The 16,445-nt window shown below is 40.9% G+C and overlaps 1 protein-coding gene and 1 pseudogene across 1 annotated transcript; both read left to right on the forward strand.

Annotated features, from left to right (window-relative positions):
* Nucleotides 1–4,851: 4,851 nt before the first annotated feature.
* On the forward strand, nt 4,852–9,154 carry RFPL4AL1 (ret finger protein like 4A like 1). Its single transcript, NM_001277397.2, has 3 exons — nt 4,852–4,909; nt 7,530–7,824; nt 8,336–9,154. Exons 2-3 carry the CDS (start codon nt 7,539–7,541, stop codon nt 8,911–8,913), a joined length of 864 nt encoding a protein of 287 aa, NP_001264326.1. The 5' UTR covers nt 4,852–4,909; nt 7,530–7,538; the 3' UTR covers nt 8,914–9,154.
* On the forward strand, nt 13,287–14,657 carry RFPL4AP1 (ret finger protein like 4A pseudogene 1; annotated as a pseudogene).

Here is a 16,445-nt window from a genome sequence, read left to right on the forward strand (position 1 = left end):
ACTGGGTGGCCTCGGGAAATTTAACAATCATGGAGGAAGGCAGAGGGGAAGCGAGTGGCTTTTTCACATAGTGACAGGAAAGAGAGAAAGAGGAAAGTGCCATCCACTTTGAAATCATCAGATCTTGTGAGAACTCACTCACGGTCATGGGAATAGCGTGGAGGAAATCCGTCCCCGTGATCCAATCATCTCCCACCTGGTCCCTCCCCCAACACTGAGGATGACAATTCAACATGAGATTTGGCTGGGGACACAGAGCCAAACCGTATCACTTGATATGATCCCACAGAATACTATTCATTTTCATTCAGTCTTTTATTTCTTAACAAATGGTGGTAAAGTATATATAATTGACCATCTTAACCATTTTTAAGTGTAAAATTCAATGGTATTTATGATGTCCATATTATTTTGCCACCATCACTGCCATTCATCTCCAGAAATCTTTTCATCTTCCAAAATTGAAACTGTATAGCCATCCTAGCCCTCTTTTAAATTCATCTATTTGTTGTCTCGCCTGAGTGCCTTATGTATTCTGGATGTTAACCCCTTATCGGATGTATGGTTTGCAAATATCTTCTCCCACTGTGTAGATTGTCTCTTCACCTTATTGTTTCCTTTGTTGTGCAGCAGCTTTTACATGTGATGCGATCCCACTTGTCTCTGTTTGTTTTTGTTGCCTGTGATTTAGGTGGTTATATCAAAAAACAAGTTTGCCCAGACAAATTTCTTAGATCTTTCCCCCTGTGTTTTGATCTGATAGGTTTACCATTTCAGGTCTTTCATTTAACTCTTTTCTCCGTTTTGAGTTGATTCATGCATGCAGTTTGATGTAAAGATACAATTGCCTTCTTCTATATGTGGATGAGTTCTTCGAGCACAATTTATTGAAGGGGCTGTACTTTCCCCATTTCGTATTGTGGATCCTTTGTCAAAAATCAATTTGCCACATGTGCGCGGGTTTATATGGGAGGTTTCATTCCTGTTTCATTGGTAGAAACGGCTGTTTTTATTCTAGTAGCATGTCGTTTTGATTATACTAGTTTTATAATATATTTTGAAATCAAGTAGTGTGATGTCTACAGCTGTGAGATTTTTCTGCATATGATTGTTTTAGCTATTTGGGGTCTTTTGTGGCTTCACCCAAATTTTAGGACTTTTTTCTCTTTTTCTGTGAAAAATGAGAATTGTGATTGGGATTGCATTGAATGTGCGGATCCTTTTGAGTGTATAGACATTTTAACAATATTAATTCTAATCCGTGAACATGAGATATCCTTTTATTTGTGTTTTTGTCAATTTTGTTCATTGCTATTTTATACTTTTTATTGTACAGGTCTTTCTCCTTCTTTACTGAATTTACTCTTGGGTTTGATTTTCTTATTGTTATTTTAATTGGAATTATTATTATGATATTTGGAGAGAGAGTCTCTCTCTGTTTTCCTGGCTGGAGTGCAGTGCAACGATCTCAGCTCACTGCAGACTCCTGCCTCAGGCCCCCAAGTAGCTGAGATTACAGGTAGCAGTCACCATGCCCAGCTGATTTTTGTCTCTTTGGTAGAGATAGAGTTTCACCATTTTGGCCAGGCTGGTCTCGAATTCCTGACCACAAGTGATCTGCCCACTTTGGCCTCCCAATATGCTGGGATTACAGGTGTGAGCCACCATACCTGGCCCGGAATTATTTTTTATTTTCTTTTTTAGATGGTTTATTTACAATTCATAAAAATGCTAAGAATTTTTGTTTGTTGATTTTGTGTCTTGCACCTTCACTGAATTCATTTATCAGTCCTAACAGAATTTGTTGGAGTTTTTAGGGTTTTCTCTATATAAGATGGTGTCATCGGCAGTGACAATTTCACTTGCCTTGAATTAGATTTTAATAACATTTATAAAAACAAAAAAGGTGGAAAAACTTCTGTCGAATCTCTGTAGTGAGTTTTCATTTCAGTTATTTTCCTTTATGCCCCTCAATTTCTAATTAGTTCATTTTTAAAATTTCTATTTGGTTATTGATATTTTCTATTTTGTGAGGTGTTACTCTTCTAATTTACTTCAGTTCTTTGTCTGTTGTTTCCTTTAGTTCTTTTGGTCCTCCTTCGACAAGTAATTTAGTCTGTAGAGAGGAAGCCCAAGGTCTTGAGCACATTTATTTCATCTTGTGACTTGTAGACATTCGGTTCTCTTTGTGTGCCTCATTTATTTTGTTGTAAATTGGAAGTGTTCTGTGGCAGATGCAGATCAGATTCTCAAAGTTCACAGGTTTTTTATTGTTATACTTGTGGGCTGTGGTTTTCTGTTTTTGTTTTGTTTTGTTTGGACTTAATGAAAGTATTTTGCAAGAGTTCCGTTTTTTCTCCTCTGTGGTCTCAGGTCATCCTGACTGACACTTCTCCTCACAGAACTTGGTGACTAGACGACCCACGTGAGTGCTTCCTTATATCCTGGACAAAACACAGAACCTAAGGAATCATGAAGAAAAAAATTCAGAGCCACGGTTGGGCAATAACATGACCTGCCTGGTTCTGAGCCACCTCATCCATGTCCCGGCTGGACTGACGGTGGGGCCACGTGCTGGGCAGTGGCTCAGGGTGAGACCACAATGTCCGGGTTCACCTCAAATCCGTTTGCCGTACCAACACTGACAATGAGAGAAAGGATGACAGTTTCCTTTGGAAACTGAGCCAAGCCCTGGGTTGTGAGAAACTCTGAGCTTCTCTTCATTGTTAAAGAAGAAAATGTGGCACATCTACACCATGGAATACTATGCAGCCATAAAAAAGGATGACTTTATGTTTTCTGCAGGGACGTGGATGAAGCTGGAAACCATGATTCTCAGCAAACTATCACAAGATTGGAAAACCAAACACGGCATGTTCTCACTCATAAGTAGGAGCTGAACAATGAGAACACATGGGCACAGGGAGAGGAACATCACACACTGGGACCTGTCGGGGGGCGGGGGGTTAGGGGAGGGATAGCATTAGGGAGAAATATCTAATGCAGGTGATGGGTTGATGGGTGCAGCAAGCCCACATGGCACATCTATACCTATGTACCAAACCTGCACGTTCTGCACATGTACCCCAGAACTTAAAGTATAATTAAAAAAAAAGAAAAAGAAAAGTCTGCTTGTACAGTGAACAGGGCCTGGGGATCGGAAGCCACCGAAGCCAACCATTTACGTCTGCTTCTGTGACACACCTGCAGGGACGGGGCATGGAGAATACAGCCCTCGCTGACTGGGATGTTGAAGGACAGGTTTATTCAAACACAGAAAACCCTCAAAGTACTGAACTGTACATGAGAGCGGGCAAGGAAACTTTACCACTGTCTGAATAGAAGCCAGCGGAGCTGCTTTCTGTGAAAAGATGCAATTGGAAAAGATGTGGAAAGTATCTAACAGCCAAACCAACCCCACCAGTGTGCCAGCAATCCTAAGACGCTATTCTCTAATTCTAAACGGAAGAACTCCTCTCCCAAGACATGAGCATGAATGCAATTCCAGGCTGTAAGATATTTTGGGAGAATATTAGAGAGGCAAATCAACCCACTGGGCTCGGTGCTTTCCACAACTGAGGCCACCTGGTATTCCCAAAGAGAACATAAATTTTGTTCAAGCTTTACGGAAAGCAGATAAAAATTAAAAGATGTGAGGGATCAGTGCTCCAGGAACATGGGCCCATAAAATTACAAGCTGGAGAATAACTGCTCCCAGAAATGTGAGTATATTTTAAAAGGATTTATATGAGAAAATAAAGCAATTAGAATTATGCAAGAAGAGATAAGCATTTTCTCCCTGCATGCATATGTGTAGATACGGTATGTGTGTATACATGGACATACATGTGGCAGATTATATTATAGGTCCCAATCAATGAAGAAATGCAGTGTGCAAGGATTTCATCTAATATATGCACCACAACGTAGAGATTTGTGTTTCTCCATTTGCCTTCATGAGACAAAAGGAATTGAGAACTGCCTTGGCTTTGAATAGGAAAGAAGAGAATCTAGCAATCGCTAGAGAATGATTACTGTGGAGATGATTAAATTAAAGACTATTAATTTAATCACATTAATGTAATCAAATCCTTTCCCACCTGACCTCCAGTCTCCCACTTTTACATTCTTATCCATGAACTCTGATCACCTATAATATATTTAATACATGAGGAACCCGTTTTTGAACATTTTTAAAGAGGAAATGAATCTCATTTTACTTATGTTGTGATGTAAGGGAAATAGATTGTAACAGTAACTTTTAACTTTCATTTTAGATGCTGCAACTAAAAAGAAAAACGGACTTTCACTGGCTGACTGATTGTCTGGAAACCGTTTTGGGATTTCTTTCCTAAGCTTCTTAATTAGAATCTTTACATTATAGAGAAAATGATTTTGAGAGTTGAGTGTGGTCTGTGGAGTGTCCTATTAGTAACGACTTCTGAGTAGGTTTAACTCACCTCTTTTATTGAAATGTGAAAAGGTGTGACATTTATAATAGAAAACTCTTTGAAAGTCGCACCGTTCATTTTAGAGGAATTTTAAATGTCACCCCAAATTTTACGATTTTAATTAATTTTAATTAATTTCCAAATTTTAACCAATAGGCATAATATTCAAGATCTTATCTAAAAATTATTACATGGCAATATTTTGTCCTTGTTAATTAAAAAATAACACTGAAAACACAGTCGTCTTCCTTTACGGTAAAAACCTGTCCAATAGTAACAATCTCAATGATGGCAGAATGAAATCAGAATCTGATTAGATTAAAAAGGAGGGAAAGGGTGTGGCTAAGGTGGGTGGAGAGACCCTCTCGTATAAAAGCCCATGGCAGGCAGCTCTCACTCCAGATCTGAGCTGTCCGCAGAAGCAGCTGGAGGCCAGGGGAGAAACTCCAGAAGGAGAGGTGAGTTCAATCTTATGGAATTCATTTTTACAAAAGGCGTATGAGAATCTAGGGGAATGCAATAATGTCTTGATTCCACAAGTGTTGTCTGAGGCCAACTCCATGACAGACACACTGTATTTCTGGAGGATATTGGGACCTCTGCCCTGGTAACGGTTAGGCAACTCTTAGATTTTCAATACCAAGGCAAGAGACTTGACAATCTCCATTTGCTTGAATTTCATCAGAATTTGGTAGACTTTCTGAAATGATGGACAGAGGTTCGGTGGCTGCGTTACTCAACGTCAGGTTTTCCTATGGGTTTGGTATTGTTTTCCTATTCTCCCCTTCCCACAACCCCTGGCAACCATCATTCTTCTCTTATTTTCTGATTTTTTTTTTGTTCAGTTTTTTGTTCCTTTTAATTCAGAAGGAGAAAGGGAAGGAAATGAAAAGCAACGTTTGTTTAAATTACTATTGTGGAAAAGATCTGGCCAGATGCTGGGACCCACCTCTTCCAGGATGGGGATTCATTATTTCTTTAATTGTTTTGAGACAGGGTCTCGCTCTGTCTGCCAGGCTGGAGTGCAGTGGCTATTTTCTGATTCTATGAGATCAGTCAACTCAGATTCCACATAACTGAGATCATACAGTGTTTACTTCCCTCAGCCTCACTTATTTCACTTCCCATCATGCCCTCGGCCTTCATCCACATTGGTGCAATGCCAGAATTGCCTTCTTTTTTATGGTAGAATAATCCAATGTATATATCACCATTTCCTCATCTATTTTTCTCTCACAGACGCTGGGGTTGTTTCCATGGCTGTTGTGAATAATGCTGCAGAGAACCTAAGAGTGCAGATATCTCTTTGATATGCTGACCTCTTTCTTTCACATAGAAACACAGAAGTAGGGTTGCTGGAACACAGGCAGTTCTATTCTTCATGTTTTCAGAAACCTCCCTACTATTTTCTGTAGTGGTTGTACCAATTTTCTTTCCCACCAACCGTGCACAAGGGTTCCCCTTTCTCCACATCCTTACCAACACTTATCTTTTGTCTTTTTGATCATAGCCATCCTAGCAGAGAGGGGGTAATATCTCATCGCGGTTTTATTGCTGGAGGGCTCAGGAGGCTCTCTGGATGCCAGAGAGAACCCAGTCCCAGCCAGTTTCCAGGTTCTGGATGCTGTCGGGAGAACGAATTCAGGGATGAGCCAGAATGAAGTGAAAGGCAAGAAGTTTCTATTCCAGAGCAAAAGCACACTGTTAGGAGAGAAGTGTGGGCGTGATTCTGAAAGCTGGTGGCGTTCAAAGGAGTTTGGGGTTTCTATTTTTGTCAGTCCTTCTAATTAGGAGGTGAACTAATCATTAGGTTTTGTAGGAAAAAAGCAGAGATTTTTTAGAATTGGTGAGGTACCCATTTTTGTACTACATATGGGCATGCTGGGGTCAGCCGTGACACTGCAGAGTGTGTGATTTAGTGTGGTAATGACCACGGTCATTACTGTGGCAATGCTTTGAAACAGCTTAACTCCCTCCGGTTTTTTAGCACCTCATGAGCCCAGGTTCCTCCTTGTCCTTGTAATTTTAATGACAAGTGGCTAATTTTAAAAGCCACTGTTTTGGTCTCATGTGAAATTGTCACTGGATACGTTCTCGATTCTCTTGCGACCACACAGTATTCCTGCCTCAGTTTAAATTGCATTTCTCAGATGGTGAGTGAGGTTGAGCTTGTTCCTCAGTACTTGCTGGTCGTTGGTGTGTGCTTTTCAGAGAAATGTCTATTCAGGATTCTGCCCATTGGAATTTGGATTATTTTGGCTTTTTTTTCTTTTTGCTACGGCCTTGAAAATATTCCTTATATATTTTGGATATTAATCCATTGTCATATATATGGCTGCTTGTTTGGTTTCTTTTAGTTCTGTTTTTTGTTTTTTTTTTTTTTTTTTTCCGCTATGCAGAAGATTCAGTTTTACCTGGTACGACTTATTTGTATTTTGTGTCTTGTCCTTTTGGTGTGCTATCAGGGTTTTCACCACATGCAGTTTGCACAGTTGGGGAAGTAGAAGGTCTTCAAATGGACTCCAGCACTGTCCAATAGAATCTTAAGATAACCCATATATGTAATTGTAAATTCATTTTCTGGTAGTCACATAAAATAGAACAAAACAAGCCTAATGAATTTTAACTCAGAATATAATCATTTAAGATGTGAGCAACTTGAAACCTTCTCAAGCAGATAGTTTACATTCTCTTTTCCCCATTACGTCTTCACAAAGAGGAGTGTATTTGGCTCACAGCACATCTCCATTCAGATACGCCCCATTTCAGGTCTCAATAGCCATTTGTCACTGGTGGCTACCATATGAAACAGCCCAGGTGTAGACTCCTTTACTATTTCAACTCAAAGTCTTTCGGTGAATCATGCCCTTTATTCCAATGAGTATTACAGATATTAGAAGTTCAGGGCCTCGAGTCATTGACATTTGTATTCATGTTGTGTCTTCATCACTAGCAGTAGTGATTTAAAGTATGGTGCCATGATAGCTCCATGCATGTAAAGATAAAAGCCCCAAACACTATCAGCTGTTCATTCAGCTCGTGGAAATTCTAATTCCGTGTTCATTTTTTTTTCTACAGACATTTGCCATGGCTGAGCACTTCAAACAGATCATTAGATGTCCTGTCTGTCTAAAAGATCTTGAAGAAGCCGTGCAACTGAAATGTGGATATGCCTGCTGCCTCCAGTGCCTCAATTCACTCCAGAAGGAGCCCGATGGGGAAGGTTTACTGTGCCGTTTCTGCTCTGTGGTCTCTCAGAAGGATGACATCAAGCCCAAGTACAAGCTGAGGGCGCTGGTTTCCATCATCAAGGAACTAGAGCCCAAGCTGAAATCTGTTCTAACAATGAACCCAAGGATGAGGAAGTTTCAAGGTAAGGAATCTATAGGACCTGCCACAACCCATAAAAGGCACTGGGAAAACGACTTTCAAACATTTCTTCATTAAACATAGGCATTAGCAGGATATCTAGCATCTAAAACTTCCATGCTTCACAAACAACAGCAGTTCTCACCTTTGCGTAGAGATTTTCATGGAATCTGTGCAAGTTTGTAGAATACTTTGGAGAGCAAGCTACTGTCTTCTTTCATGTATCATATGTGCTAAATGGAAAACTAATTTTCATCAAATTATCCACTAACTTATTTCGAAAGGCATTTCTAATATGAATAAGGTGGACTTGTTACAATGATCATATTCATGCAACCTATAGATACAATTTAACCTCATCAGGTGGCCAAACAAGTTTCCCCAGGAAATTTTGATTTGGGAAAGAAAGTAGAATAAAAGTAAAAGTGAATAATGTGTTTAAGTGTTTGCAGTCAAAGGGCAGAGGGAGTCTGTAGTGTGTGTCTTTGCTGAACTCCTGGTTCTTCTTTGCACAGTGGATATGACCTTCGATGTGGACACAGCCAACAACTATCTCATCATTTCTGAAGACCTGAGGAGTTTCCGAAGTGGGGATTTGAGCCAGAATAGGAAGGAGCAAGCTGAGAGGTTCGACACTGCCCTGTGCGTCCTGGGCACCCCTCGCTTCACTTCCGGCCGCCATTACTGGGAGGTGGACGTGGGCACCAGCCAAGTGTGGGATGTGGGCGTGTGCAAGGAATCTGTCAACCGACAGGGGAAGATTGAGCTTTCTTCAGAACACGGCTTCTTGACTGTGGGTTGCAGAGAAGGAAAGGTCTTTGCTGCCAGCACTGTGCCTATGACTCCTCTCTGGGTGAGTCCCCAGTTGCACAGAGTGGGGATTTTCCTGGATGTAGGTATGAGGTCCATTGCCTTTTACAATGTTAGTGATGGGTGCCATATCAACACATTCATCGAGATTCCTGTTTGCGAGCCCTGGCGTCCATTTTTTGCTCATAAACGTGGAAGTCAAGATGATCAGAGCATCCTGAGTATCTGTTCTGTGATCAATCCATCCACTGCCAGTGCCCCAGTTTCTTCTGAGGGAAAGTAAATAAACATTTGAACATAATCATCTTTAGGAAGTTTCAGTGCCCCCATAGCCATAGCTAAGAACTTTTCCGCTAGATACACATAGGTACAAAGGGACAGAAGGGAAAGAGCCATCACTCTGTAAACCATGAACAGAAAGCAATTATATTAATGAGGGGAAAATTACATTGTACTTAAAGTTTGTCATGTTGTTTTCTTTGGGGCTTATGTTTATATTTCTGTTCAATAAATATTTTGAAAATTCAGATTCATTTGCCAATCTTTTCTATTTGCTGCAAGATTAGTGTACTGTGTGTTATGGAAGTTATGAACGAAATAATAATTTGAATGTGACCCAACACAGTAACTGAATTTCAAATGATAAGGACCTATGAATACGGCAAAATTATATATGTTCATGTATTCAGTTTAACCCAATAACTGAACACTGACATTCATTTCAAGTGCACACTGAGTGTTTGCCACGAATATGTGTGGTCTTAGAGAGAACTCGTTAGCTTTAAAATTGAAATACAATACACCCTCTCCTATGACGGCAACAGAGTCAAATTGGAAATCAATAACAGGAAGAAATCCATAAATTCTCCACATATATGCAAATTAAATAACCACTTCTAAATAAAATGATCAAATATGAAATTACAATGGAAATTACAGCTATCCTGAGTTGAATGAAAAGCACACATTTACAAAATTTCTAGATGCGGTTGAAGCTCAGTGAGAAACTCATAATAGGAAGAAAATATCGTAATCAATCACCTTAATTTCTACTTGAACTTACTTCACTAAGAGCAATTCAATTGTCAGCATTTTGATCAAAACCATCTGACAAGTATCTGGGAAGTTGCAGACATTCTCACATCTTCCTGTCTTCTTCTGAGCCCTGCAAACGGTTGCAACCTCTGCCCGTTACCCAGTTCCAAAGTCGCTTCCACATTTTCAGGTACCATAGTAGCAGTGCCTCACTCCTGGTACCAATATTCTGTAACAGTTCATTCTCACACTGCTCTAAAGAACTACCGGAGACTGGGTAATTTATGAAGAAAAGAGGTTTCATTAATTTATAGTTCTGCAGGTCGCACGGGGAACATCACTGGGTGGCCTCGGGAAATTTAACAATCATGGAGGAAGGCAGAGGGGAAGCGAGTGGCTTTTTCACATAGTGACAGGAAAGAGAGAAAGAGGAAAGTGCCATACACTTTGAAATCATCAGATCTTTGAGAACTCACTCACGGTCATGGGAATAGCGCGGAGGAAATCCGTCCCCGTGATCCAATCATCTCCCACCTGGTCCCTCCCCCAACACTGAGGATGACAATTCAACATGAGGTTTGGCTGGGGACACAGAGCCAAACCGTATCACTTGATATGATCCCACAGAATACTATTCATTTTCATTCAGTCTTTTATTTCTTAACAAATGGTGGTAAAGTATATATAATTGACCATCTTAACCATTTTTAAGTGTAAAATTCAATGGTATTTATGATGTCCATATTATTTTGCCACCATCACTGCCATTCATCTCCAGAAATCTTTTCATCTTCCAAAATTGAAACTATATACCCATCCTAGCCCACTTTTTAATTCACCTATTTGTTGTCTTGCCTGAGTGCCTTATGTATTCTGGATATTAACCCCTTATCGGATGTATGGTTTGCAAATATCTTCTCCCACTGTGTAGATTGTCTCTTCAACTTATTGTTTCCTTTGTTGTGCAGCAGCTTTTACATGTGATGCGATCCCACTTGTCTATGTTTGCTTTTGTTGCCTGTGATTTAGGTGGTTATATCAAAAAACAAGTTTGCCCAGACAAATTTCTTAGATCTTTCCCCCTGTGTTTTGATCTGATAGTTTTACCATTTCAGGTCTTTCATTTACAATCACCATTTTAATTCCACTCTCTAATTTTATGACTTCAGTGTTTTTAGGTTCCTAGTAAGTTAGGTCATTCGGTATTTATCGCTTTCTATATGACTTATTCCACTTAGCAAAATGCCCTCAAGTTTCATCCATTTTTTTATGGTGTACGATATTTCATTGTATATATAGCACAATTTCTTGATCTATTCTTCTGCCAACATTATCGAGTAAAAGGGATTCGCTGTCCAATACTCTAGGAGTGAATAGGATGACATGGGGATGTTTGAGAAAAGGAAAGCATTGCATTGAAATGAAAACCCTAGGGAGACAGGAGTCCAGCTCTAATCTGTCGTCTCATACTGGCTTCATGTCAGCATTTATTAGAAAAGGTTCAGAGGGCCTGGCATGGTGTCTCATGCCTAAAATCCCAGCAATTTGGGAGGCAGATGCAGGTGGATCACTTGAGCTCAGGAGTAGGAGACCAGCCTGGGCAACGCAGTGAGACCCCCCCCTCTCCAAAACCACAAAAATGAGCTGCACATGGTGGTGCAGGCCTGTAGTTCCAGCTACTCGGGGAGGCTGAGGCAGGAGGATCATCTGAGCCCGGGAGTTTCAGGCTGCAGTGAGCCGAGATCGAACCACTGCACTCCAGCCTGGGTGATTAAAAAAGGTTCAGGGGATGGATTCTGAGATCAGTAAGTAATTGATGGAAGGAAAAGGGAGGTCTGGAAAGTCCATGGGCATGGGCAGTTATCTTTTCGTGCTTTCTTGTGGGTCGACTGTGGAAATTCAAAGGGTGTTAATGTACAACATGCAGTGGAAATTCGGGCTGTGACTTCAGCAAGCTTGTTCTGCACAGACTCCAGCTGGCCACATTGGCTCTAGCCAATTTCAGCCAGTTCTTTTGTTTCCTGAACAGAGGGAGTTTCAGTGTTTCAGCAAAGTTGTTTCTTTTCTTTGTTTTCTTTTTCTTTTTTTGGGGGGAGACAGGGTCTTGCTGCTGCCTGGGCTGGATGCAGTGGTGCGATCTTGGCTCACTGCAGCCTCTATCTCCTGGGCTCACGTGATCCTCCCGTATCAGCCTCCCGAGTAGCTGGGACCACAGGTATGGGCCACCACACCCGGCTAATTTTTAAAATTATTTGTAGACACGGGTCTCACGATGTTGCGCTGGCTGGTCTCGAACTCCTGGGCCCAAACGATCCTCCTTTCTCAGCCTCAGAAAGTGCTGGAATTTACAAGTGTGAGCCACCGCGACCAGCCAAGTTTTTTCCCTTCTTACCTGCCATGCTGTACACTCAAAAATTTGTTAGTTACTGGTTTAACTCTTTTATTTTTATTTATTTATTGTTTTAGACGAAGTCTCGCTCTGTCACCAGGCTGGGGTGCAGTGGCATGATCTCGCCTTTGCCCATTTCATAATCAGAATGTTAGTTTTAGGGGTTTTTTTTTTCTATTGCGTTATGAGTTCTTTATATATTTTGGATATTAACCTAATATCAGATATATAATTTGCAAACATTTTTTTCCATTCTGTAGGCTTTCTTTTCATCGTCTCCCTTGTTTCCTTCACTATGCAGAACATTTTTTGTTTGACATAGTCCAACTTATTTATTTTTGTTTTTTGTGTAATATAATGCTGTAAGTTTCATGCCACATCCAGGTGGAACAAATACTATGCCACGGGAGTTTTTGAGAAAAGAAAAGCTTTATGTTAATTCAACTCCCAGGGAGACAGGAGTCCAGCTCTAATCTGTCGTCTCATACTGGCTTCAAATCACCATTTATTAGAAAAGGTTCAGAGGACCTGGCATGGTGGCACCTGCCTGAAATCCCAGCACTTTGGGCGGCTGAGGCAGGTGGATCATTTGAGGTCAGTAGTAGGAGATCAGCCTGGGCAACATAGTGAGACCTCATCTCTCCAAAACACAAAAATTGGCCAGGCTTATTGTGGAGGTTGAGGGTCTCCAGTGCTGTCCAATATAAACATAATGTGATCAACATATGTAAGATAAATTTATTGTCTAATAGCCACATAAATCAAGCAAAATGAAATAAGCCTAAGTAAGTTTAACAAAATATAAGCATTTCACATGTAATACATTTTTAAGATTCTCTAACAGATAGTTTACATCTCCCTTAGGTCTTCAAAATTTAGTGTATATTTTATACTCACAACACATCTTCATTTAGATAAGCCCCATTTCAGGTGCTCAGTAGCCACATGTGGCTGGTGGCTACCATATTGGATAGCTCAGCTGTAGACCCTTTTGCCACTCAACTCAAAGCCTCATACCAAGCCATGGCCTTCATTCTAGCCAGTATTTCCAATATTGGAAGGTCAGGGCCCTGATCATTTATATTTGTACTTATATTGTATCTTCATTTCCTAGTACCAGTGCTTTACAAAGAGTAGGCGATGATGTCTTCATGCAGGTAAAGATGAAAGTGTCCCAAGAACTATCAGCCATTCCACTCACGTAAAAGCTAATACCATGCCTATTTACTCCCAGACAGTGGCCATGGCTGAACACTTTAAACAAGCAAGCAGTTGTCCTATCTGCCTGGATTATCTTGAAAACCCCACGCACCTGAAATGTGGATACATCTGTTGCCTCCGATGCATGAACTCACTGCGAAAGGGGCCCGATGGGAAGGGGGTGCTGTGCCCTTTCTGCCCTGTGGTCTCTCAGAAAAATGACATCAGGCCCGCTGCCCAGCTGGGGGCGCTGGTGTCCAAGATCAAGGAACTAGAGCCCAAGGTGAGAGCTGTTCTGCAGATGAATCCAAGGATGAGAAAGTTCCAAGGTAAGGAATCTGTACTACCTGCTCCAAGCCCATAAAGGGCCTTGGAAAAAGCAGCTTTTAAATGTCTTTCCGTTCAATACGGGCATTAGCTGAAGTCTGCAACCTAAAAGATTTGTGATCCCAAACATCAGCTGTTATCAGCGCACAGTATAGATTTTCACAGGATCTGTACCAATTTATGAGAGCAAACTATCATCTCCTCCTTCATCCATCCTATGCACCAAGAGGGAGAAAAACCTTTAATCAAAATATTGAATAACTTAAACAAGAATTTTACTATGAGAAAGGTGGGCTTGTTGCAATTATATTCATACATTCTATACATAAAATTTGACTTAATCGGGGGGCCAGGGAAATTCCTAAAGAAAGTTCGGATCTGAGAATGAACGTGGAATAAAAGAAGTGACAATGAATAAAATATTTGGGTCTGTGCAGTAGAAAGGCAGAGGGAGTCTGTAGTGTGTGTCTTTGCTGAACTACCGGTTCTTCTTTGCACAGTGGATATGACCTTGGATGTGGACACAGCCAACAACGATCTCATCGTTTCTGAAGACCTGAGGCGTGTCCGATGTGGGAATTTCAGACAGAATAGGAAGGAGCAAGCTGAGAGGTTCGACACTGCCCTGTGCGTCCTGGGCACCCCTCGCTTCACTTCCGGCCGCCATTACTGGGAGGTGGGCGTGGGCACCAGCCAAGTGTGGGATGTGGGCGTGTGCAAGGAATCTGTGAACCGACAGGGGAACGTTGTACTCTCTTCAGAACTCGGCTTCTGGACTGTGGGTTTGAGACAAGGACAGATCTACTTTGCCAGCACTAAGCCTGTGACGGGTCTCTGGGTGAGCTCAGGTCTACACCGAGTGGGGATTTACCTGGATATAAAAACGAGGGCCATTTCCTTCTATAATGTCAGTGATAGGTCACATATCTTCACATTCACGAAAATTTCTGCTACTGAGCCACTGCGCCCATGTTTTGCTCATGCAGATACAAGTCGTGATGATCACGGATACTTGAGTGTGTGTGTGTAATTAATAATGGCATTGCCAGTTCCCCAATTTATCCTGGGCAAGGCAACTATACACTTGAACACAGAAAACATCCACAGTAAGTGGCTGTGTGCTCGTGACCAAAGGCGAGAACTTCTCCGCTTGGTCCACTTATGGTTCAAAGTTATGGAAGAAGAATGTGGGTCTTTCAAGGAATTCTGAGCTCTACTTGTATTGCTGATGAAAAATTGCATATGAAATATAAAGCAGTGTCATTTTTTGGTAACTCATGCTTATGTTTCTTTCACAATAAACGTTTAACATTTTCAGATGAATTTGCAAATGTTTTTCTTTTGCTTTGCTGTAAGATCAAGTAAATGTGTTATGGAGGTTATAAACTATAATAATATAAATTGACCCCCAAAATTAATTCACTTACTAAATGACAAGGAAACACTGCCTGTTAAACTGATAAAAGTATCTGCCTGTATTTGTTCAGTTTTACCCAACAACTGGAAAACACACATTCATCTCCAGTATACATTGAACATTCGCTAGCATAGACAGATGTGGCCATAAGACAAATCACATTGACATGAAAATTGAAATAATATACACGCTGTTCTCAAATGCCAACAGAATTAAATTATAAATCAGTAACAAGAAGAAATCTGTAAAATCTCCACATACATGAAAATTAAACAACCACTTTAAAATAAAACACAAATCAAAGGTGAACTTATAAAGGAAATTATAAAATACCTTACACTGAGTGAAAGTAAATGCACAATATCACAAAATGTGCAGATGTAGTTGAGGTTTAGAGGGAAATTTATAGAAATAGACACTTATAAAATCAAGGAAAATACCCTCATCCATGATCTAGCTTCCTTTTTTTTTTTTTTTTTTTTTTTTTGAGACAGAGTCTTGCTCTGTCGCCCAGGCTGGAGTGCAGTGGCGCGATCTCGGCTCACTGCAAGCTCCGCCTCCCGGGTTCACGCCATTCTCCTGCCTCAGCCTCCCAAGTAGCTGGGACCACAGGCGCCCGCCACTACGTCTGGTTAATTTTGTGTATTTTTGTTTTTTTTTAGTAGAGACAGGGTTTCAGCATGTTAGCCAGGATGGTCTCGATCTCCTGACCTCGTGATCCGCCCGCCTCAGCCTCCCAAAGTGCTGGGATTACAGGAGCAAGCCACCGTGCCCGGCCGGTCTAGCTTCCATTTTTAAGTGAGCAAATGCAGTGGCAAATTAGGTAAAAAACAAAACAAAACAAAGACTACAGTAGTAGTCAATGAAATAGAAAATGGATAAATGTTAAATAAAATTTTAAAAATTCAAGACACGTTTTTTCAGGATCAAAGTAGTAAATCTTCAGCTACAGTGAAGGAGTGAGGAAGGGGTGAATTAAAACAATGAGTAAGCAAGAGAAAAGGAAGACAGGGCAAAATCAAGAGAGGCAGAGAAAGAAGAGACAGAGCCCATCGTGATGGCTCAAGCCTGTAATCCCAGCACTTCGGGAGGCCGAGAAGGGAGGATTGCTTGGACTCAGGAGTTTGAGACCAGCCTAGGCAACAAAGCAAAACCCCATCTCTACAAAAATAATAATAAAAAAATTAGCTGGGTGTGTTGGTTTGCACCTGTGGTTTCAGCCACTTAGGAGGCTGAGGTGGGAGGATTGCTTGAGCCCCAGGAAGTTGAGGCTGCAGGGAGCCATGAGCCATGATCATGCCACTGCACTCCAGCCTGGGCTACAGAGTGAGACCCTATCTTCAAAAACAGAAAAGAAAATGTAACATATATACACAATGGAATAGTATTATCCATAGAAAAGAAGAAAGTTCTGTCATTTGCATCTACAGAAATGAACCTGGAATAC

Source organism: Homo sapiens, chromosome 19 (assembly GCF_000001405.40).
Source record: "Homo sapiens chromosome 19, GRCh38.p14 Primary Assembly".
Classification (NCBI taxonomy): domain Eukaryota; kingdom Metazoa; phylum Chordata; class Mammalia; order Primates; family Hominidae; genus Homo; species Homo sapiens.

Excerpts from the sequence above, each read along its gene's own strand:
- RFPL4AL1 (NM_001277397.2), top strand. The coding sequence starts at position 7,539 with ATGGCTGAGCACTTCAAACAGATCATTAGATGTCCTGTCTGTCTAAAA. Across the intron at positions 7,825-8,335 it reads AAGGATGAGGAAGTTTCAAG|TGGATATGACCTTCGATGTG; the intron begins GTAAGGAATCTA and ends TTCTTTGCACAG.